The following is a 24562-nucleotide window of genomic DNA, read 5'->3' as shown; positions in this document are numbered from 1 at the left end:
CAGCAGGGAAACCATACATAAAATAATTTCTTCTTTCAATGAGCATTCTTTCCCCCACTTGCCCCGCTGCTGGCTTCCTGGAGTGGCAGTCAAAGCCTTGGCACCAGCTCACTGGGCCCTGGAACTGCGCATTGCTCAAGACTTTGGAATGGCTTGGCATCCTGTCAACATGCACATCTGGGTGTGCAGCTGGATTCAGAAATTTCCAGTGGACTCTGGCACTTGGCACAGTTTTAGCCCTTTTCACATTGACTCGGGCTTGGGAGGGGTCACAGTATATCTTTTCTCAGTGAGTGCTTTTCAATCCATCAACAACTGTACCCAAGGAGGGAGAAGGAGCCTCTACTCACTCAGGCATAGAAAGTGAGGTCATGATTAAGTTCAATGAATAAGCACAGCACAGAAAATCCAGATGTCTGTCAGCCATGGGATGACATCTTCTATCCACGAGCTACAGAAACTGAGAGAAGAGTGTTTGCAAGTCCCTCTGGTTGCAGAAGCAAGGTGAGCAGATGAAGCCATTCCTACCCTCTCCTCCTGTCTTCCAACTTCCTTAGTGTGTCTGACTCCTGAGCAATAGCAACAAGCATTTGTTTAATATTTATTAGATGCCAGGAACTGTGTATACACCAGCTCATTTAACCTTTACAACAATCCTATGATGTATTACTTACTCAATTTTTAAGCAAAGGAAACCTAGCTCAGATATTTTAATTACCTTGGCCATGGAGACACAGCTAGGAAGTGGCCAAGTAAAATTCAGGGTCAGTTCTATCTTACTTCAAAGTGCACAGACTTCATGGATATGTCATGCCACTTCCCAAACCTGTTTAGCTCTATTTTCCAAGGGTTTTGATAGGAGTTAAAGCAGTAGCCATAGCATCTAAGTGCCTGGATTATCTAGGATACAGTGTGACTGCATTAGGATCCAAGAGTAGCTTACACAAATTAAAAGTTTATTTTTTCTGAATCTGAGCCAAAACAGTTCAAGACTAACGTAGCAGCTCCACATTGTTAAGTAGGCACTACAGTTCTCTTCTCATCCATGTGGTCCAATGTTGCTCTTTATGACATCTGTTTCCAGTGGGAGAGACAAAGAAAAACAGGGCAAGACAGGGCACACCCCTAAAATGGCAGACACAACTTCCACTCACATCCAATTGACCAACACTTAGTCATAGGGCCACGCATAGCAATAAGGGTAGCTTGAAAATTAGCCTTTACTCTGAACATTCATGTGAATGTCTGAAGTCTAGTACCAAAGAAGCATAGAAGGCAAGAATGGATATTGGGACACAACTCTTGGTCTTTGCCACATGCCTTGATGGCCAATTTGACTTTCAGAATGTAAAGAAGTGTTATACTTCAAGTCCAAAGGCAGCTGGGACATCCTGGAGAGAACTGATGAAGGATAATAGGAGCCTGAGGTATACCAACTCATACTCCTAGAGAGAGAGAGAGAGACAGATTGGGGGAGAGAAAGGAGGGAGGAAGAAGACTTGTAAAGGCCTTGGTGATTTATATCTCATTCACTTCTGCTCACAGGCCATTAACTATTGGATAGAATGGTCACAGGGCCCCACACCTGACTGCAGTGGAAGGAGGCTGGGAAATACAGGGAGCTCATGGACTTGAAGTGAGCATCTACTGTCTCTGCCATGGAAATTTCACGTACAAAAGAGAATTTCCAAATTCTCTTGGAAAATCAAATGTAGCAAACTTAGCCCAACTTTCTACTGGGCAAGATACACTGGAGCTTCTCAGCTGTCCACTGTAGTCAGAGGACTCAGTTTCCAGTGTGCCTCACTTACCTTTTAACACCCCACTTTTGGGGCCTGACAACTTGAGAATATAGTTTACAGTGATTTCAGGAGCCTTTTCCTAAGTCGTTCTTGACAAGCCAGGGTATTCCCTTTTACAACCAAAGTTACAACTAGTGCACTTTTCCCTAAAAGCATTGCCTTCCATTTCTCTCAATGACTGTTTATATTTCCCCCTTGTGAGAATGGCCTTAACATATCCCTGTAAGGTTAATATTTTATACTCAACTATTGTGGGGGCTATCTGGTGTGGGCTTTATAAAGAAATATAAAAAACATTTTCATTTTGCACATTTTAATCAAAGCTTCATGAATGATTGTGTCTTCTCTTTTAATTCTATTTATAGAAGGTGGATGGAATTTATAATCTAAAAGTTTCATTTGAAGTCTTGGTCCTATGACTTAACTATCTGACCATGGATACATCTCTTAACCTCTTGTTGCACTTATAAAATACTCAGTACAAAGGTTGACATGAGTAAGTGAGATAAAGTTTATGAAGGGATTCAACACTAATTCAGTTTCCAGTTTGGCTGTCTTTCAAGTTTTGTTGCTTTACATTTTTTCTAAATTTTTAATGATTCAGTATCCTCTATTTTTATTTTACTTTATTTTGTTTTACTTAAGAAAAAGAAGTCAGCTGGTTGCGGTGGCTCACGCCTGTAATCTCAGCACTTTGGGAGGCTGAGGCGAGTAGATCACCTGAGGTCAGGGGTTCGAGACCAGCCTGGCCAACATGGTGAAACCCTGTCTCTACTAAAAATACAAAAATTAGCTGGGCTTGATGGTGCACACCTGTAATCCCTGTTACTTGGGAGGCTGACGCAGGAGAATCTCTTGAACATGGAAGGTGGAGGTTGCAGTGAACTGTGATCACGCCACTGCACTCCAGCCTGGGCGACACGAGTGCAAGAGGGAAACTCCATCCCTGCCCCAACTCCTGCAAAAAAAAGAGAAAAAGAAGCCAAGAACTCAAATAGAGTTCTAGACATGTAGAAGGAACAGGAATAATCTTCCTCCTATACAGTCAAAGAAACTCAAGAACAAGTAGACTTACAGAAAGTCAAAGTGCCAAGGCAGATTAAAAGTTGAAAGATTATGGCAAAATTGAATGGAAAACCAAATACAGTGTTTCCTGCTTATTTGTGGATTCCATTTTTGCTAATTCACCTACTCACCAAAAATTAACTTATAGCTCCAAAATGGATATTCCTGGTGCTGTTTTTTTTTTTTTTCTTTTTTTTTTGAGATGGAGTTTCGCTCTTGTTGCCCATGCTGGAGTGCAATGGCACACGATCTCAGCTCACTGCAACCTCCGTCTCCTGGATTCAAGCGATTCTCCTGCCTCAGCCTCTCTATTGGCTGGGGTTACAGGCACCCGCCACCATGCCCAGCTAATTTTTGTGTTTTTAGTAGAGACGGGCTTTCACCACATTGGCCAGGCTGGTCTCGATTTCCTGACCTCAGGTCATCTGCCTGCCTCAGCCTCCCAAAGTGCTGGGATTACAGGCATGAGCCACCATGCCTGGCGGGTGATTTTATAGTTATTTGAAGACATGCAGAGTGGCAAAAAATTTGAGTCACCCCAATGCACATGTTCCTAGCTGAGGTCAAACAAAATGACACACTGCCTTCTTGTTTCAGTTCTCATGCTGTAAACAAGTGTTCTTTTTGTAGTTTGTCACATATTTTATGCTTTTTATTGGTGCTTTCATAGTTTAAACTGGTCCTCAAACATAGTATTGCAGTGTTTTCCAGTGTTCCTAAGTGCAAGTAGAATATGATATGCCTTATAGAGAAAGTATGTGTACGATATGAGCTTCATTCAGACATGAGTTATATTACTGTTGGCTGTGAGTTAAATGTTAATGAATCACACACACACACACACACACACACAATAAGGTGTTTAAATAGAAACATAAAACAAGCTTATGTGTACTTCAGTTGATGAAAATGTTGTGACTACAGGCTTGCAAGAACTTAACTCTTCCTCCTAGAAACAATAGTTCAGTATTAGCTAATTTTGTGTTTGAGGCAACTTTACAGAACATAATTACCACGAATAATGAGAATCAACTGTACATTGCTAAGTGCAGAACATTTACCTAATTCAAAAGTTTTAACAACATTGCTTTCGTTTCAAGCTCCCTTCAAGTATAGTGAAACAAACAGTGAAAAGTTTTGTATCTTCATGGGCACCCTTGACATGCCACGGAACAACAGCCAACTTTGGAAATATGTAGTCTAGCTACAGGTCATTTTTGGTTCCATAAATCCAAAATTCAGGATTTAGGTTTTAAATTCAGAACTGAATGCATTTCATTTGTTTCGGCCTCATAGTCAAAATGAGGTAGAAATTGAGTAATTGGTGGGTTTGGTTAATGGGACAAGAAATTATGGAACACTCAGATTCCTTATCTCCTCTTGAAATGGTTATGTTTCAAGACCTGTTGAAATTGATCTTTTTGCCTTTTTTTCTGTTTTTTTTTTTTTGCTTTTCTTTCTTCTTTCACTTTTCTACTCAATTATCACCACCTTTTTCTCTCTTACTCCCTTTCTATTTTCTTCTTTCCCTTCTACCCTCTCCCCCATTGCCCCTTTCATTTCTCTTCTCCTGTACCCACAGCACAAAGCAAAACAGAGACTTGCCAATTACTCATTTAGTTTTATGAATACAGACAGCTAGCACATCAAACCCACTGTGAGAACTCTCAAAACTCATGGACCAAAGACAGTTTAGAAGAAGTTGTGTTTTGAGACAACTCTTAAAGCTTCAATTTGTTTTTCTCATAGCTCAAGGCAAGTGAATGAGAAATAATGGGACTATATCTCAAAGAAATCCCTAAGAATATCCCTGTATTTATAGGTAATTTAGATCCCAAACTTAACTTTTAAAAACATAATTAGATATTGACTGCATTGAACAAAGCCTGATAATGAAATGAAAAGACCATTTCACTTGAAGACTTAGGAATTAAGTAAATGTGGGGCTTGGTTTTGTCCTTTATAGAATTTCTGCTTGGTTTGCATTTTGAGCCATATTTCACATTTTAATAATTAGCTTGGCTTTGTTAAGGATGTGTGCACATTGATGGTAATGTGTTTGATCTAGTTTAGACCTGTTGGGGCACTCCCTTGTTCTCTCTTAGACATAGATGTTTCAGTTCTGATCCATTATCCCAGGATAAGAGCTGGGGAGCTTTTAGCGGAAGAGCAGCCGTTTAGTGCATCTGAAGGAAGTCTAACGGCTGCTTCTCGGTTTGCCTGGAGTCACTTTAACGATGCAAGTCAGCACATAATGCACTTTACCCTGACATTTCACTACTTTAGGCACTAACCCACTGTCAGATCCACCATCAATAGCTTATTAAATTCATCTTTATGTCTTTGACATTATTTTAATAGCACTGGCAACTGCATGATAGAAATAAATAAATCACAAGCAAGCGGTACAGAGCTCAAATTTTCTTTTATGTGACTCTGACTCAATCCACTAATCACTTTTCCTTTAGTTATAAAAATACTTAAGCCATCAGTCACTCTTTTTCAGTTGGGAGCACTAAGATAGAAGCTTTCCATAGTTGCTTTATGAACTTTGGCTTTAATGGTGCAGATTTACCCATAGAGCCAAACTCTTGAACATCGGGGACAAAGAGTGTTTGATTGACCACGGTATAATGAGAAGTTGGCCACAGCATCTCCAAATGCAAGCACCAATTCCAGGTACCTGCTAGAAGCACACGGTCTCACGATTTTTCCGCATAGGTAGAGTGTGGATCTAAATGCTTTCTTCCATCCTTGCGAGATGGGAGCAAAATTACTATTTCGAGTTTCACCAGCAGTCTGGATTTCTATATTTACAAGCTTGAATAAATCGAACATCTCATTCTGAGAAGTTCTCTGCCCTTTTCTTTCTCTTCCTTTTTTTCCCCCTCTAGCAACAGATGAGCCTTTACATTTTTTCAGCATTTACTGATGCAAACTGCGGATTTTTTTTTTTTAGAACTATGCTGTGGCTAGCTTCCTCAGGCTATAAATACTCCAGCCTGGCTGTTTTAGAGACATAATTTATAAATTTTGTGAAAACCAGGGTAAGATCAGGGTCCTATTAGATTATATTATGGTCAAGGGGCCACAATTCCCCAAATCAAACTTCTAGAGCACTCACCCTTCCATGGACTACGCCTAAGAAGCAGATGTAACCACAGCGTGACAATCTGCAAATAGAAGACAAAGTAACACTATTTTTAGCTGGCCCCATTCTGATGAAAAACTTGAATAAGGTGGAGTGGGTCATGAGAAAGCACCTTTTTCTTCTGCAAGTTATATCCATGGTTCTCAAACTTGAGCATGCATCAGAATCATCTGGAAACCTGATTAAAATACAGATTTCTGGACACATCATCAGAGTAGCAGATGTAGGGCAGGGCCTTCAAATTTGCATTTCTCACATTTCCAGGGTGGATTGCTGCAGCTGCTCTGGACACCCCACTTTGAAATGCACTGAGTTAGATCTTCATTAGCTCAAGATAAACAAACAAACAAAAAACATAAGGTTGATTTGCCTATACCATCTCAAAACCTGTACCCAAGTTTTTTTATTTTAGCTTATCCTTATGGAACTACGAGGTCCCCTCTCAGTGCCTAGCTTTGAGCTGGTCCCAGCCCAGCATCCTGGCCATCTCATAGCATTTACGTAGTTGCAAGCCTGCCTGATAGATGAGAAAAGTTCACTACTGGACTTCAAGAGTAGAAGAGGAGAAATAAGACAAGGCTGTTTCCTCATCCACCATCCTTGACTGTCTTTCAGAAGCTCTGTTCTTCAGAATGTGGCCCACAATCCAGGTGATGGTACCTGGCTGAGAGCTCAGTCCTCTTTCTGCATGACAAGCCTCAAGGGACAAGAGCAGAGGAGGGCTCCAAACTTCCTCCTTTTAGAAGAGAAAAATGTATCCCCATGTCTTTCTTCATTAGCTAGCTTCCTTTGATAAACCTTAGCCTGAGATAACTCCTGTATATTTCATGGCCCACCTGTGCCAATGAATCCTCTCTGCACCTGCGCTTCTATATAAATAGCAGAGGTATGCCAGAAAGTTGCACACTTATCTCTGAAAACAGACTCAAATTCCACATGCGTTTGCAGAAAATATCATTTAAAAAATTCCTATGATGAGTATTTTTGCCAAATACACCCTGCTATAGTTTTACTGTATCCCCAAAAGTTTATGTGTTGGAAACTTATTCCCAATGCATGTGTTGAGAAATGGAATCTTTAAAAGGTGATTAAGCCCTAAAGGCTTTGCCTTTACAAATGTATTAATGCCATTATCATAGGAGTGGGTTAGTTATCATGGGAGTGGGTTTCTGATAAAAAGGATTAATTTGGCCCTGTTCCCCCTCTGTCTAGAACATGTGCTGTATTAGTCTATTTCACACTGCTATGAAGAAATATCTGAGACTGACTAATTTATAAAGAAAAAGAGGTTTAATGGACTCACAGTTTCACATGGCTGGGGAGGCCTCACAATCATGGTGGAAGGTGAAGGAGGAGCAAAGGCATGTTTTACATGGTGGCAGGCAAGATAGTGTATTCAGGGTATCGGTCCTTTACAAAACCATCGGATTTCATGAGATTTATTCACTATCATGAGATGAACACAGGAAAAACCCACCCTGCTGATTAAGTTACCTCCCACTGGGTTCCTCCCATGACATGTGACATGTGGGGATTATGGGAGCTACAGCTGAAGATGAGATTTGGGTGGGGACATGGCCAAACCATATCAAGTGCTTTCTTTTGCTTCCATCTTCCACTATGGGATGACAGCACAGTGGCCCTCACCAATTGATTTTGGATTTCCTAGCAGCCTTCAGAACAGTTAGCTAAATATATCTTTTATTTTTTAATTACCCAGTCTCTGGTATTCTGTTACAGCAGCACAAAACAGACTAAGATACACCCTTTCCCTTTAATAAATACATTCTATATAGTAATACTCTCATTTATAAGGTCTGCTTCAAGTGAGGCAATTAAATTTGCACCTATCTGCCTGTTGTTTATTATTGTTGCTAACATTTTATTGTGGGAATTTTCAAATGTCCTTTATTGTTCAATTTATAAAATGTTCTTCACTTTAAAAAACTGTTTTACTCGACTTTTCTATTGTTTCAACGTTGGTACTGAGGGAGACAAAACTGTACAAATTTCTCCATAAAATTTACTCTCAAAATGATATTTTTCCTATCCCACAGTATTTCCTCTATGAGGCTTCGGTGCTGGGGAAACTTGCTTGGCTTGAGTAACTGGTCTCTTTTAATTGTGCAAATAATGTGAATCTTGCTCTGATTGTGTTTGCCTCTTTACCTTAGCTTGAGGACACTTAGACTAAATTTGCAATCAACTTCTAGCTGTTGTGCTAAACCTTTGGGCACTCATTTCAGAGTGTTATAGTTGTCCTTAATTTCTTTTTCCTGTCTCCTTTTAAATTCTATTTTATTTTAAACATTGTAGTGCAGTGGCTCAATCTTGGCTCACTGCAACCTCTGCCTCCTGGGCTCAAGTGGTTCTTGTGCCTCAGCCTCCCAAGTAGCTGGAACTACAGATGTGCACCACCATGCCCCGCTAATTTTTGTATTGTTAGTAGAGACAGGATTTTGCCATATTGGTCAGGCTGGTCTTGAATTCCTGGCCTCAGGTGATCCTCCCACCTCAACCTCCTGAATAGCTGGGACTATGGGCGCATGCCACCATGCCTGGCTATTTTTTTTTTTTGAGGCAGAGTTTTGCTCTTGTTGCCCAGGCTGGAGTGCAATGGCGCGATCTCGGCTCACTGGAACTTCTGCCTCCTGGGTTCAAGTGATTCTCCTGCCTCAGCCTCCCGAGTAGCTGGGATTATAGGCACCCACAACCACACCTGGCTAACTTTTTGTATTTTTAGTGGAGACGGGGTTTTGCTATTGGCCAGGCTGGTCTTGAACTCTTGACCTCAGGTGATCCACTCGCCTCGGCCTCCCAAAGTGCTGGGATTACAGGCATGAGCCACAGTGCCTGGCCATCTGGCTTTTTTTTTTTTTTTTCAACTTTTTATAGAGACGAGGTTTCTCTATATCACCCAGGCTGGCCTCAACTCCTGGAGTCAAGCAATGCTCCTGCCTTGGTCTCCCAAAATGCTGGGATTACAGGTGTGAGCCACTACCTGGCCTAAACTCTAATTTTATTCTTTGAAAAAGGAGGTGGTATAAAAATACACAAATGATTTTTTTTATAGAAAGGCACTATCTTCCTGTCCTTAATATAAACTATAGAATGAAATCTGCATGCTGTACAGAAAAAGTGTTGGATTTCACCAAAAGAAAAGTTGTGTTCGGAAGCAACCTGATAAGCTGATCCCATGAACATCAATGGCCATGATGAGAATGAATTCTTATGGCCAAGTCTTGATGCCTTTCACATTGGTGTGTTTGAAAGTGTCCATTATCCCTTTTTTTTTTTTTTTTTTTTTGAGACAGAGTCTTGCTCTTTCACCCAGGCTGGAGTGCAATGATGCCATCTTGGCTCACTGCAACCTCCACCTCCCAGGTTCAAGCGATTCTTCTGCCCCAGCCTCCTGACTAGCTGGAACTACAGGTGCATGCCACCACACCTGGCTAATTTTTGTATTTTTAGTAGAGACAGGGTTTTACTATGTTGGCCAGGCTGGTCTCAAACTCCTGACCTCGTGATTCGCCTGCCTTGGCCTCCCAAAGTGCTGGGATTACAGGCGTGAGCCACCGCGACCAGCCTATTATCCTTTTTTGGAGCTCATTTACTTGACTGAGCTCTCTTGAATGAAATGGCCTTTCAAGTATGATCTGTTCTAACTTTCAATAGGCTGTGATTCTCTCAAGTTTGACTATTTTTTGGTGGTAGAACTATTATTAAGGTTAAAAAACTGGACATGATTGTTTGTAATATATAAAGAGCTCCTACAAATCCATACAAAAGACAACCCATTAGAAAAATGGCATTGGATTGAACAAGCAATTCACAGAACTAAAAATGACCACAAATGTACAAGAAAATTCTGGTCAACCTCATTCAAAATAGAGGACAAGCAAATCAGATGACTGATGATAAAATTTGACCGGCTAGATTGGCAATGTTTTAGGAAAAGTAACAGGGGAGCCAGAGGTTACCTCCAATTCCCCTTAGTTGTTATGTGGACTCTTCGACTGGATCTAGAAACCAAATTGACACCAGGCAGATTAACAAGTGAAAAACAAAGAAATTGTTTTTATTTAAATTGTCTCTTCACAATAGAGTGAGTCTGAGAAGGCGTCCAAAGCAAGATTGCTTTTTTTTTTAATGCTTTAATTTCTAGGGTACATGTGCACAACGTGCAGGTTTGTTACATAGGTATACATGTGCCATGTTAGTTTGCTGTACCCAGTAACTTGTCATTTACATTAGGTATTTCTCCTAATGCTATCCCTCCCCCAGACCCCCACGCCCTGACGGGCCCCGGTGTGTGATGTTGCCTGCCCTGTGTCCAAGTGTTCTCATTGTTCACTTCCCACCTATGCGTGAGAACATGCGGTGTTTGGTTTTCTGTCCTTGTGATAGTTTGCTCAGAATGATGGTTTCCAGCTTCGTCCATGTCCCTGCAAAGGACGTGAACTCATCCTTTTTTATGGCTGCATAGTATTCCATGGTATATATGTGCCACATTTTCTTAATCCAGTCTATTATTGATGGACATTTGGGTTGGTTCCAAGTTTTTGCTATTGTGAATAGTGCCACAATAAACATACGTGTGCATGTGTCTTTATAATAGCATGATTTATAATCCTTTGGGTATATACCTAGTAATGGGATCGCTGGGTCAAATGGTATTCCTAGTTCTAGATCCCTGAGGAATCGCCGCCACACTGTCTTCCCCAGTGTTTGAACTAGTTTATACTCCCACCAACAGTGTAAAAGCACTCCTATTTCTCCACATCCTCTCCAGCTTCTGTTGTTATCTGACTTTTTAATGATCGCCATTCTAACTGGTGTGAGATGGTATCTCACTGTGGCTTTGATTTGCATTTATCTGATGACCAGTGATGATGAGATTTTTTTCATGTGTCTGTTGGCTGCATAAATGTCTTTTTTTGAGAAATGTCTTTTCATAGGCATTGCACACTTTTTGATGGGGTTGTTTTATTCTTGTAAATTTGTTTAAATTCTTTGTAGATTCTGGATATTAGCCCTTTGTCAGATGGGTAGATTGCAAAAATTTTCTCCCATTCTGTAGGTTTCCTGTTCACTCTGATGGTAGTTTCTTTTGCTGTGCAGAAGCGCTTTAGTTTAACAGATGTTTTTATACTTTTTAGACCTAGAACAATTAATTGGAGAAAAAAATGACAGGATAAAGGCGATCTGGCTAGGGAAGTATATTTCCAGAAGAGTCACTAGGAGATATGAGAGGAGGCATAAAACTAGTGGAAGATAAGGGTTACTTCAGTAAGTATTTTTATTCAGGTCCACTGCAGCCCTCAATTCCCAGTTGCTGGTGATTAGGGTTATTTTCTCATTCTGGAACAGGAAGAGTATCCCTCTTAGAAGAATCTTTACAGCTTGCTGCGTGTAGAAAGAGACAGGTCCACTAGCCTTTTATGAAACTACAATTTCTCTAATGTTGTCAACTTGAAATAATCAATATATAAATTTGGCATATTTCGGGATGGCACGTCCTTCACTGCGTCACAGGACAGAGTGTGGGAAGTGAATACTTTTAATCACTTATTTGAGACAGAGTGTGGGAATTGGGAATACTCTCCATGAATACTCAATCAGTGTGATTATAAATTGTCATTGACTGGAGGGAAAGTTGGAAGGCATTATCAGAAATGTAAACAGAGACTGTGCTGGGAATTATTCTTTTAGGGGTTTATCCTACACAAATATTCACATATGTGCATGGAGGCACGTATATAGATGTCATTGCCTTTTGAACCATAATATTGAAGAAGGGGAATAATTAAACTAAGCGACAGTAGGAAAAGGATTAAATAAATTGTGATGTGTGTGTGTGTGTGTATATATATATATGATGGAATACTATGCAGCAGTTTAATGAGCATGATGGTTCCTATGTGCCAGCCTGGAAAACTCTTCAAAACATATGGTTAAAAGGATGAAAGCAAGATGCAGAACAATATGAGAAGAGTATGAATCCACATATGTATCGAATAAACTATCCCAGGCAATATGTTTGTGTATGTATATATAAGAATGCAAATAGATAAAGGCTTTTTATAGCATTGCCTGGGTAGAATAGAGGGCTAGGGAGAATGCGGGTGAAGAAAGATTTTCTTTTTTTATCCTGTATAGTCTAAACTGTTTGAACTTTTGAATATTTGCATCCCTACATTGTGCAGTTACAACAAAGCAAACCTTTAAAATAGTAAGAAAAATGAAGATAAAAGAACTAAATAGTTCCATATCAAAATATAATCTGGGTAATAAGATTATGAATACTTTGTGTTTTGTTTGACCCATTGTTTTCCAAATTTTTTACAATGGATACCTATTTTGTTTTGTAATCAGACAAAACATTTGTTCAGATTAATATAGTTTCACTCCTTCCTTTCTGAAGATGTAAGAAAGCAAGATGACATAATGTATTTCAATCACTCTGACTTCCTTTCTCACTCTTTCAACCACAAACATCATTAGAGGGCATCTCCTCTTCTGTTTCATTACTTCTTTTAATACTTCTGACACAAGGTTCCTGGGTCAGGCTCTCTTTGACTAGCCCAGCACTTGGAATAAGTTTCAGCACAGTTAACGTCTTATTCTTAGAGATGCTCAGTCAACTCCGCCTTCCTCCAGGAGGCTGTTGGGGAAGACGCTGAGTGATTTTGCAATTTGTCTTTCCAATGGTAACATCATTATGCATCCCAAAGTCTCCATCTCCTGTGGATTTACCTAAATACTTGGAAATATCTTTTTTAAAGGAAATATGTTTTCCTCCCAGCTGTGCTCTCATGGGCAATCCCCATCTCCAGTTGATCCAGAGTTTTGACAAGCGGAATTCCTGACAGTCTCCCTTGGATCCTTAGATCAGCTCAGTCATACTTTCTTCATAACACGCCATATGGAATACCTGTGAATGATTTCCCATGGCCTGCTTATCTTTCATTATAAGCAAGTCAAGGCATCCATGTGCAGTACCTGTTTTCAAGAGAGAAGAGTATTTTGCAGAAACGAATACATCAACAGTCTTCCCTTCTCCTCTGCTCCCCAGCCTTTTCCCCTAATTGGATCTTATAAGCATACAACATGTTTTTTTTAGAGCAGGCTTCTCAAGCTGCTAAGTGCATGCAAATCACCTGGGCATCTTGTTAAAATGCAGATTCTAATTCAGAAGGTCTAGAATGGGGTCCAAGAATTTGCATTTCTAACATGCTCACAGGCAATGCTAATTCTGCTGATCCCTTCACAGGCCACACTTTGAGTGGCGTGGTTCTAAGGAACATGGAATTAGTCCCAGCAAAACCTTGTAAGGGTGAGATAAGACAGGCTTATTTGCAAAAAGGAAACTCTCTGTGCAATAGTGAATGAGAATTAAAGATATTTTTGAATGTATGGATATAGATTTCGTTCACATTTATGTTCTTAAGAAGAAATCAAGTGGTTCACAATTATATAGAAAGACCTGGCTGTGAAATTGTGGATCCCAGAATCACAGGGCTGGAAGAGCAGCCCAGAAGCGTGTATCTAGGAACTTAACAGATACTGGGGACTCCAAAAGGTGGAAATGGTGGGAGGAAGTAAGGGTTGAAAAATTACCTATTGGGTACAATGTTCACTACTTGCGTGGTAGGTACACTAGAAGCCCAAACCCCACCACTATGTAATATATACATGTAATAAACCTGCATATATACCCCTGAATCTACAAAAATAAAAATAAACTTTAATAATTATGAAAAATTAAGCCATGTGCTGAGCAGGCCATGCTTTTCTGTGGCCTGAGAGAGAGTAGTCAGTGCAGTGAACTGTGAATTGCAGGGGGAGGTGGGAAGGGAAGGCAGAGAAGCTGTGCATGTAAAACGGCTTCTAGGTTAAAAGCCCAGCTCTGAAGTGGGGAGGCAGGTAGGTGGGTTGTGGGCAGCTGAGAGAGGCAGTGGCATGACTCTAAACAGTGGTGCGGGGGCCAAGGTGAACTGCTGCATCTTAACTAGCATCGGTGTCCTTGTCCTTTGGTACCCAGCTGGAAAGCTAAGACAATCCTGACATCGAGGATTTCGAAAGGTAATAATATATGTTTCTGAAGATAAAAAAGGATTTCATTATCCTACTCGCCTCTCTATCCTGCTCCCAGTACAGGGAGAAGAGAGGTCTTTAGCCTGTTCCTAGCCTACTTCAGCCTTACCCTTTAGCCTGTCCCTAGCCTTTTTCACTCTTCAGCCTGTTTAGCCTATTTCAGCAGTAAAATAGGTTAGGGACAGGTTAGGACAGTAGACACCCCTACCAGCTGTCTGATGGCTATCTGAAATGACATCAGAAAGACACAAGTGTGAGTCCCAGCTCTCTGGGAACTTGGATATATGTCACACATTTTTAAAAAATCTTTTCCTCCTCAAATAATTTTTTAAAATGTAGTCATTGGAACAGATAAATCATTTACATGTTTTGAGCATCAAAACTATAAAATGGTACAATAAATAGAGAAAGACCTTCATCTTCCTAGTTCCCATCCTCCACTCCCAGCCAGGTGACAATTATTGTGTTTCTTGTTTACCCTTCCCAAGAATTTCATGTTTATACAACTTAATACAGGTATATATTATTTATTAATGCCACTTTCTCATGCAAATGGGAACATACTGTATGTATTTTAGTAGGTTGCTCTTTCCAGTTAAAATATATCTTGAAGGACTTTTGTTATTAATGCATAGTATCTTCCTTATTCTTTCCTTCTTTCTTGTTTTTTTTTTTTTTCTTTTTTTCTGGAGTAGGAGTCTCACTCTGTCGCCTAGGCTAGAGTGCTGTGGTGCAATCTCGGCTCATTGCAACCTCTGACTCCCAGGTTCAAGCGATTCTCCTGCCTCAGCCTCCCGAGTAGCTGGGGCTACCGGCATGCTCCACCATGCCTAGCTAATTTTTGTATTTTTGGTAGAGACGGGTTTTCACCATGTTAGCCAGTCTAGTCTCAAACTCCTGACCTCAGGTGATCCACCTGCTTCGGCCTCCCAGAGTGCTGGGATTATAGACGTGAGCCACCAGGCCTGGCCTCCTTATTCTTTCTTAACAGCTGCATAGCGGTTCAATATATAGATGAGCCACAGTTGATTCATCTTTTTTTTGCCTTGAAGAAAACTCAGATTGTTTTTGATCTTTTGCTAGTATATATAGATACAGCATTTCACATGTGTGCAAGAATAGCCTTAGGATAAATTTCTGGAAGTAAAATTGCTGGATACTGGATACTTTCCCAAATCACCTTTGTTGGGCTTATAAATCAAATAAAATGATCAAGGTGAATCTCAATCATTTTAGGAGGTTTATTTGCCAAGGTTAAGGACACACCCAGGAAAGATCATACATCCACAGGAAAAATTGTGGCCCATGCTTTTTCTGAAGAGGCCCTGGGTACCTCAATATTTAAAGGGAAAACACAGATATTGGGGGAAGAGGAATAAATTTTTTTTTTTTTTTTTGAGACGGAGTCTCGTACCCTCGCCCAGGCTGGAGGGCAGTGGCGCCATCTCGGCTCGCTGCAAGCTCCGCCTCCCGGGTTCACGCCATTCTCCTGCCTCAGCCTCCCGAGTAGCTGGGACTACAGAGCCTGGGCTAATTTTTTGTATTTTTAGTGGAGACGGGGTTTCACCGTGTTAGCCAGGACGGTCTTGATCTCCTGACCCTGTGATCCGCCCGCCTTGGCTTCCCAAAGTGCTGGGATTACAGGCATGCGCTACCGCACCCAGCCGGAATAAATTTTTAAAACGATATGGGTAGGTAAGAGGCAAGCCATTGTATACTTTTGAGTTTTTGGTCAGCCTTTCACTGAAGACACAATTTACATGTGCTAGGTGGGTAGAGGAATACTCACTTATGCCTTCCTCTGGCTCAGTGAATCTGCATTTTTACATAATATAAAGTAAGTATAGGACAAAGGAAGCAATCAGATACGCATTTGTCTCAGGTGAGCAGAGGTAAGACTTTGAGTTCCGTCCTTTGTCCTGTACCTGTGAAGATAAGCTATCAAATCACATTGCCTGGGTGGAATTCAACAGAACTGTTTTATGGTAAAGATCATGGAGACCACAAGATCTTGGGCAAATTGTGAGAAAGGTATGTAACTTTAAAAAAAAATCTTTGTAAGTATCTTATTTAAGAACAAAATGGAAGCAGGTTTGCGCAACCCAGTTCTTAGCTTGGCCTTTCCCGTTGGCTTAGTATGTTTGGGGTTCCGAGATTTGTTTTCCTTTCGCAGACTTAATACCAATTTATTCTCTGACCAGTAATGTCTAAGAGTCACACCTTCCTTGTAGCCTGACAATGCATGCTATCCAATATTTTGAATAATTGCCAGCTGGATAAGTGAAAAAGGTTATCTCATTTTAAAACCTTTTTCTTCAAGTCTAACACACATGTAGAAAAGTGCACAAATCACAAGTGTGTAGGACATGAATTTTCAAAGTGAACACACATGTGACTAGCACACATATATTTAAAAACACAGTACCCAGAAGATCCTGCATGACCTGTTCAGTCATATTCCTCTCCCAAGTGTCAATAAAAGGAGTCAAACTCTGTAAAATATTTGAAGAGATTTATTCTGTGCCAAATATGAGTGACCATGGTCCACGGCACAGCCCTCAGGAGATCCTGAGAGCATATGCCCAAGGTGGTCCTGCCACAGCCTAGTTTTATACATTTTAGGGCGACATGAGACATCAATCAAACACATGTAAGATTTACATTGATTTGATCTGGAACAGTGGGACAACTTGAAGAATGGGCTTCTAGGTCATGGGTAGATTTAAAAATTTTCTGATTGGCAATTGGTTGAAAGAGTTATTATCAATAGAGAGGAATGTCTAGGTTACAATAAGGGGTTGTGGAGACCAAGGTTTTATCATGCAGATGAAGCCTCCAAGTAGCAAGCTTCAGAGACAATAGATTGTAAATGCTGGTTGGCTCTTCCTGAATTCAAAAAGGGAGGAGGGCATAATGAGGCACGTCCAACTCCTGCTTCCATTACGGCTGTATTAGTCCATTTTCACACTGCTGATAAAGACATACCTGAGACTGGGCAGTTTACAAAAGAAAGAGGTTTTTTGGGCTTACAGTTTCACATGGCTGGAGAGGCCTCACAATCATGATGGAAGGCAAGGAGGAGCAGGTCTCATCTTACATGGATGGCAGCAGGCAAAAAAAAAAAAAAGTTTCTGCAGGGAAGCTCCTCTTTTTAAAACCATCAGATCTTGTGAGACCTGTTCGCTATTATGAGAACAGCATGGGAAAGGACTGCCCTCATTATTCAATTACCTCTTACCAGGTCCCTCCCACAACATGTGGGAATTCAAGATGAGATTTGGGTGGGGACACAGCCAAACAATATCAATAGCCTGAGCAGAACAAGCTTTTCAGGTTAACTTTGGAATGTCCTTGGCTGAGAGGAGAGGTCCATTCAGAAGGTTGGGGAGCCTTAGAATTTTATTTTGCTGTACACAAGTAAATCTCTCCTGTGTGATAATACCATAGATTAATTTGACTGTTCTTAAGCTTCATACAAATGAAACCACATTGTATGTGCTCTTGTGGATCTGGCATCTTATGCTGAACAATAGCTTCATGAGATTCAATTATATTGTTGGAAATAGTCCTTAAAGATAAAGCACCTACCATTCAGCTTTCCAGCTGCTGAGCTTAGAATCTATAGATGGAGAAACTAATGTTTCACTTCAATGTTATGTTCCGAAAGTCCTTTGAAATGCCTGTTTCACTTGTGCTAGAGTTTCTGATAACTGTGTCCTCTTTACCTGTCAATGCCATTCCCCTGGTAAGAACTTGTCACGTCTGAAACACTTTCTTGCACTCTGACATAGGAGACAGGAGCAGGAAAAGGGATAACTAGCTTTCAGAATTTACATGGAGTTGTAGGCACATCCAGAAATAGAATTTGGTGGCTGGTGTACTTTAAGCCTTGCGAGTCTGCAAACTCTACTAATGGACTGAGCAATTGCTGTTTTTAAGACCTCCCCTCTAATTACTATTCATAAATAAGCAGTAGAAGACTTCCCTTCCCACATGCACCAAAAGGATGCTGTAGAAGCATTTGCATATGATTGTTTTCACAAAATGTGCTTAAGAAAACAGATTCTCCATTCAAAGGAATCCCTGAGTCTACTATTCAAAAGTCACCTCTCACTTTCAGTGGTTGCTTTCTATCTCAATATCCCATTTCATTCCTTGTGATTTGTGTCTTCCTAACACTTCTATGGATTTCTGGCGAACTTCTTTTCTTCTGACAAATCCACAGGGCATTCTAATTCTAAACATTGCTTAGTTTCTCTCTTATTGGCTAGCTTCATATTGATAACCACTCTCATTTCCATCTCACCATGAAATGCCAGTGAGTGAGATGAAATGTCATTTCATACCTTTACATGCAATTTTTATTTCATTTTTCATAAATTCTCTGTTGTATCTTAGGCCCGCTTTTCTATTGTTTTGTTATCTTTTAAAAAAGTATTTGAAGTTTTAGTACCTATTTACACTTATTTACATTTTTGTGGTCTTTTTTCCTCCTATTTCTAGAATCTTTTTTTATATTAAGGAGATTAGCTCTTTGTCCATAATATGTCTTTTGCATATTTTTCTAAATATTTTCATTTGTGTTCTAACTTTACTTTTAGTGTTCTTTGCCATAATAAAGTTTTGGAATTTTATATCCTCAATTTAACAGTCTTTTCCTTAAGAGTTTCTGGATTAGTGTAATAATTAGAAGGACCATTCCCAATATAAGTTTATAAGATACAGTGCTATGTGTTCATATAGTTTTTATGAGTTAGCTTATTACATTTCATTTTTGATGCATTTAAAATTCATTCTGGGTATCATATGAGGTGTGGAATCAAATTAATTTTTTTCCCACGTACATCATTCCCATTAATTCTATTTACTAAGTGGATCTTTTTTTTTCCCACACTGATTTGGGTGAAACCTTTGTTATATATTAAAGTCTCCTATATTAGAATGTATTTCCAAATTTTTAAAATTCTGTTCCATTGGTCTATTCATGCATCAATAATACTGTTTTTAATTACTAAAACTTTAGTGCAAGTTTTAATGCCTGAAATACACTATCATTACCTTTTATTTTTAGAATTTCCCTATTTGTACTAATTTTGGCATATGAACTTTAGGATTGACCTGTCTAGTTTGAAAACACAACAAACAAAAATCACAACCACTAGAGAGTATTCTTGTCTTATTCCTGACTTCAGTAGGAATGCTTCTAATGTTGTCCCATTAAAAAATGATGTAAACGGAATGAATGAGCAATTTTAGAATCATTTTTCAAAAGTATTCATTGATTATTTCTTCCATAAATGAATGTTATATTTTGTTAAATGCTTTTTAGTTGTTGTAGAAAACTATGTGTGTGTATGTATGTTTTCCCTCAGATCAATAAATGTCCTGAATTTAATTAATTGTTCTCTTCATATGAAAACTTCCTTAAAATCTTGAAATAAATCCCATGTGGACATACTATATTCTTTTATGATGCTACTTCTGCCTGCTATTATTTTATTTTAGATTTTTTTGAAACTCATTGTTTTTGCTCATCAATTTTGATATCACAATTATGCTTGCCTCATAACACGAATTTTAAACTTTCACTTCTTTTTCTATGTTCTGGAATATTAAATAAATTGTCGGCTTTTTATAGACTTGGCTGATTTCCTGTAGTACCATCTGGATGTAACACTTTTTTCAAATTTATCATTTTCTACGAAAATCAGTCTGTTGAGATTTTCTGTCTCTTCTGAGGTCAGTTTTGCTAAACTTTTTTTTCCAGAGCTAGTCTGTTCACCCAGGTTTTAACATATGGCATAGAGTTGAACAAAGTTGTATCTTAGGATTTTTCTTTCTTTTTTTTTTTGAGACAGAGTCTCACTCTGTTGCCCAGACTGGAGTGCAATGGCGCGATCTTGACTTACTGCAACCTCCGCCTCCCAGGTTCAAGCGATTCTTCTGCCCCAGCCTCCCGAGTAGCTGGGATTACAGGCACCCACCATCATGCCCAGCTAATTTTTTTGTGTTTTTGTAGAGACAGGGTTTCAACACGTTGTCCAGGCTGGTCTCGAACTCCTGACCCCAGATGATCCACCTGCCTTGGCCTCCCAAAGTGCTGGGATTACAGGAGTGAGCCACCACGCCCGGCCAGGATTTTTCTTTAATATCCTAATTTATGTGGCTAATTTTTTCTTCTCTTATTTTGTACAATTGTACTTTTTTCTTTTTTAGATTTTCTTTTGATTTATCAGTTTTATAAGTTTTTAAACAGTTTTAGGTTTTGAATATATTTATTAATTTTAGTATTATTCTGTTTTCAAATTTTGCTATTTTTTATCTTTATTCATTTTTCCTTCTGTTCTCATTTGGTTTAAATGTTCTGTTTTTTTTCAAAATTTTCTAGTTGAATCATTTCATTATTGTGTACTGACATTATTTAAGGCCGTGAACTTCGAGCAGGTTTATTTAGCATATCTAATTATTCTAACAAGTGATGTTTGAATTAGAAAACATTTTGGTTGGCATTTCCTTTTTGATCTGTGAGTTGTTTCACGATCTTGCTGTTAATTTTTAGTTTTATTGCACTATGATCAGAGATCATAATTAAACTAATAATGAAGATAAAACTAATTTTTAGTTTTATTGCACTATGATCTGTACTATTTGACATTTTAGAATATGTCAATGTTTTCTTTATTGTCTCAATTTTTAAGGTCAATTTTTAAGACTGGACTGTGGGCACTAGAAAAACAGCTTTTTCTCTATTTTCAGAGTATGTAATTTTAAATATAACAAATTAATTATATTATTTAGTTCCTTTGAAGGTTTGCTTTTTTTTGTCATTGATCATCATCGACTGGGAAAGTGAATTAAAGTTCAAACTAAGTATGCGTTTCTTTTTCTCTTTGTGTCTTTTGAAGTCTTTTAAATTAATAAATGCTGAATCTATGTTATTTGGAGGATATACGTTCACAATCATAATTGCATATTGTAAATGCTCACTTTAGCATAATGAAGTTCTCTTCCTTGTCTTAATTTTGTGACATAAATTCTACCTTCTCCAATATTAATATTATGGCAACCTTTTTGGCACATGTATCTGGTATACATTTCCTGTCCATTTACTTATGTCTTAATATATTTTTAAATGTTGAAATAGTTATAGATTCATATATACACAGAAATGTGCAAGTGATTCACTGAACCTTTCACTCAGCCTTCTCCAATGGTAACATCTCACATAAGTGTAGCATAATATAAAACCAGGAAAAATCCACAGAGCTTACTCAGGTTTTGTCAATTATATATGCATTCATTACTGTGAGCATGCACGCAGGTTTACCTAATTTTATCATGTGTATAGATTCGTGTATGGACCATCACAATCAAGATAAAAAATGCACAAGCACCATAGAGCTTCTTTGTACTACTTTTTTATTCCCCCCATCTTCACACTATCTTTAACCTCTAGTAGCTAACTTATCTGTTCTCCACCTCTATAATTTTGTTTTGAGAATGTTATCATTAAAATCATACAGTATGTAAATTTGAGATCAGCTACTTTCACTCACTTGAGGTTTATTCAGCTACTTTCACTAACTTGAGGTTTATTCAGTTGTTATAAACGAGGTTTATACAAGTTGTTGAATATAAAAGGAGTTTGTTCCCTTTTATTGCTGACTTGTACCTCATGATGTGAATGTGCCATTTTGTTTAACCATTCACAAACTGAAGAACATTTGAGTAGTTTCCAGATTTCGGCTGTTATGAATAAAGTTGCTGCTATGGTTTGAATGTGCCCTTCAAAGTTCGTGTGTTGGTAACTTCATCTCCAATGCAACAGTATTGAGAGTGGGAACTTTAAGAGGTGATTAGATGGCTGGGCGCAGTGGCTCATGCCTGTAATCCCAGCACTTTGGGATGCTGAGGCAGGTGGATCACGAGATCAGAAGACCGAGACCATCCTGGCCAACATGGTGAAACCCCGTCTCTACTAAAATACAAAAAATTAGCCAGGTGTGGTTGTGCACACCTGTAGTCCCGGCTACTCGGGAGGCTGAGGCAGGGGAATCACTTGAATCCAGGAGGCAGAGGTTGCAGTGAGCCAAGATTATGCCACTGCACTCCAGCCTGGCAACAGAGCAAGACTCCGTCTCAAAAGAAAAAAAAAAAAGAGGTTATTAGGTATTGAGGGCTCTGCCCTCATTAATGTCATTATCATGAGTGTGGGTATGTTATCTTGAGAGTGAGTTTCTTATAAAAACGAGTTCAGTTCCATCTTGCTCTCTCTTTTTCTTCCTTTCTCTTTCTCTTCCTCTCGCTCTTCATGCACATGAGTGAACACTCTCTTGCCTTTCCACCTTCCACCATGGGATGATGCTGCAAGAAGACCCTCCCAGATGCCAGCTCCTCAGTGTTAGATTTCCCAGCCTCCAGAATCATGAGAAATAAATTTCTGTTTATTAGAAATTACCCCGTCTGTGATACTCTGTTACAGCAGCATAAAATAAACTAAGACAAAAAATTGGCATAGATAAGTGGGGCTGTTGCTATAACAAATACCTGAAAATGTGAAAGTGGCTTTGAAACTGAGTAATTGGTAGAAGCTGGAAGAATTTTGAGGAGCAAGCTATAAAATGCCTAGATTGCCATACATGGAGCATTAAGGGTGATTCTGGTGATGACTCAGAAGGAGAACAAGAGGTGTAAGGAGGGCCGGAATCTTCTTAGGCATTACTAAGTGTTCATGACCAGAATGTTTGTGGAAAAATGGACAGTAAAGGCCATTTGCGTGAATTCTTAAATGGAAATGAGGGACAAGATATTGGAAATTGGAACAAAGCCATCCACGTTATAAAGTAGAAAAGAACTTAGCTTAATTGTGTTCAGGTTTGAGGGCTTTGTGTCAGGCAGAACTTAAGAGCAATGAAGTAGAATATCTGCTGAAAGAAATTTCTAAACAAAATATTGAAGGAGCTGTGTGGCTTCTTTTAACTGCTTATGATAAAATGAGAAAGGAGAGTAATGCTTAAAGATGGAATTTATAATTTAAAGGAAACCAGAACGTAAAGTTTGCAGCCTAGCCATACAAAGAACAAAAAAAGAGTGTGGCCAAGCAACCCTTTGATAAAGGAATTAGTATAAACAGAAAGAAGACAAGGTAGTTTTGTACCTTAGTAATATGTACAAAGGAATATGTACCTTATCTGCTAGTATCAATGTTTAACCACTTAAAAGTGAAGGATAGAAACCTTGCTTCTGCTTAGCTCCCTTTGATCTCTCCAATTTTTTTGTTGTGGCAAAATACAAATAACATAAAATTTACCATTGTTATCAATTAGTGCATTCACAGTATTGTGCAACCATTACCACAACCTAGTTCTAGCACACTTTCATCACCCCCAAAGGAAACTCTGTACCCATTAAGCAGTCACTCTTCATTCTTCCTCTTCCTAGTCCCCAGAAATCACTAATCTACTTTCTGTCTCTATGGATTTGCCTATGCTAGATATCTCTATAAATGGAATCACATAATTTTATGTCTATTATAGTGTAATATTTTCAAGGTTTATTCATGAGTCGCCTCAGCACTCCCTTCTTTTTTATGGCTGAATCATATTCTAGTTCAACTGCTTTGTGAAAGAGAAGCTTCAGCTGCTGAGTCATTATATATTTGTGTCCATTTAGGGATGGGACTATGATGAAGTCAATGAGTCAAGTGAGGCATTTATTTCCAGCCCTAAATGTAAAAGGGTGCCAAAAAACTCAGTAACCATGATAAATAATACCTTAATATAACATTAAAGAATTCATTCAAAAGACATCTGCTGAACAAAATATCACAATTTTAAATAAAGACAGGATCAATATACTGATGTTTCCTTTTGACTTTGTTTCTAGAATGCTTGGCACATCACTTTTATTGGGGCTACATTTACTGAAAATTTTGAAATTTTGTTCATCATGCATTTTTACATTAATTTTGATTTTAAAAAATATGATATTAAGAACAGTATTTATCTTGATAGCTGAGCTTTTTGGTGCCACCTTAAATTTGGCATGAGAGGAGACCGTCTCATTTGCCTTGTCTTAATCCTGGTCCCTTGTCTATTTGTCCCTGCAAACTAGCTTGCCCTTATATATGCTAATAAAACAAAATAGGATACCAGAAGGAAGAAACAAAGAACAAGATAAGATGATTTCTGAAATGAAATTAAACTGAATTAAAAATTTAGTGAAAGTCTTGAAAAATAAAGTCCAATCTTCAAGAAAATATAACAAAGGCAATGATATAAAAATATGAGAGAAAATATTTTTTAAAAAATTAGGAAAATACATTAGGAAATCTAATATCAGACTATTAGAAATTCCAGAAGAACAAAATGAAATACCCAATGAAGCAGAAGTATTTATTAAATAAGTTATATCAAAAAATTTATAAGACCTCAAAGACGCATTCCCC

At 38.8% G+C, this 24562-nt stretch overlaps 1 long non-coding RNA gene across 3 annotated transcripts in view; it reads left to right on the top strand.

Annotated features, from left to right (window-relative positions):
- The first annotated feature begins 313 nt into the window (after window positions 1-313).
- The window catches only part of LOC107987088 (uncharacterized), a 57909-nt gene continuing 33660 nt past the window's right edge, over window positions 314-24562 (top strand). For all 3 annotated transcript variants that reach the window (XR_001746809.1, XR_001746807.1, XR_001746808.1), the window contains exon 1: window positions 314-504. This is a non-coding gene — a long non-coding RNA (uncharacterized LOC107987088). The remainder of the gene's footprint in view (window positions 505-24562) is intronic.

Source organism: Homo sapiens, chromosome 9 (assembly GCF_000001405.40).
Source record: "Homo sapiens chromosome 9, GRCh38.p14 Primary Assembly".
Classification (NCBI taxonomy): Eukaryota; Metazoa; Chordata; class Mammalia; order Primates; family Hominidae; genus Homo; species Homo sapiens.
This window is presented reverse-complemented; position numbering and strand designations above follow the sequence as displayed.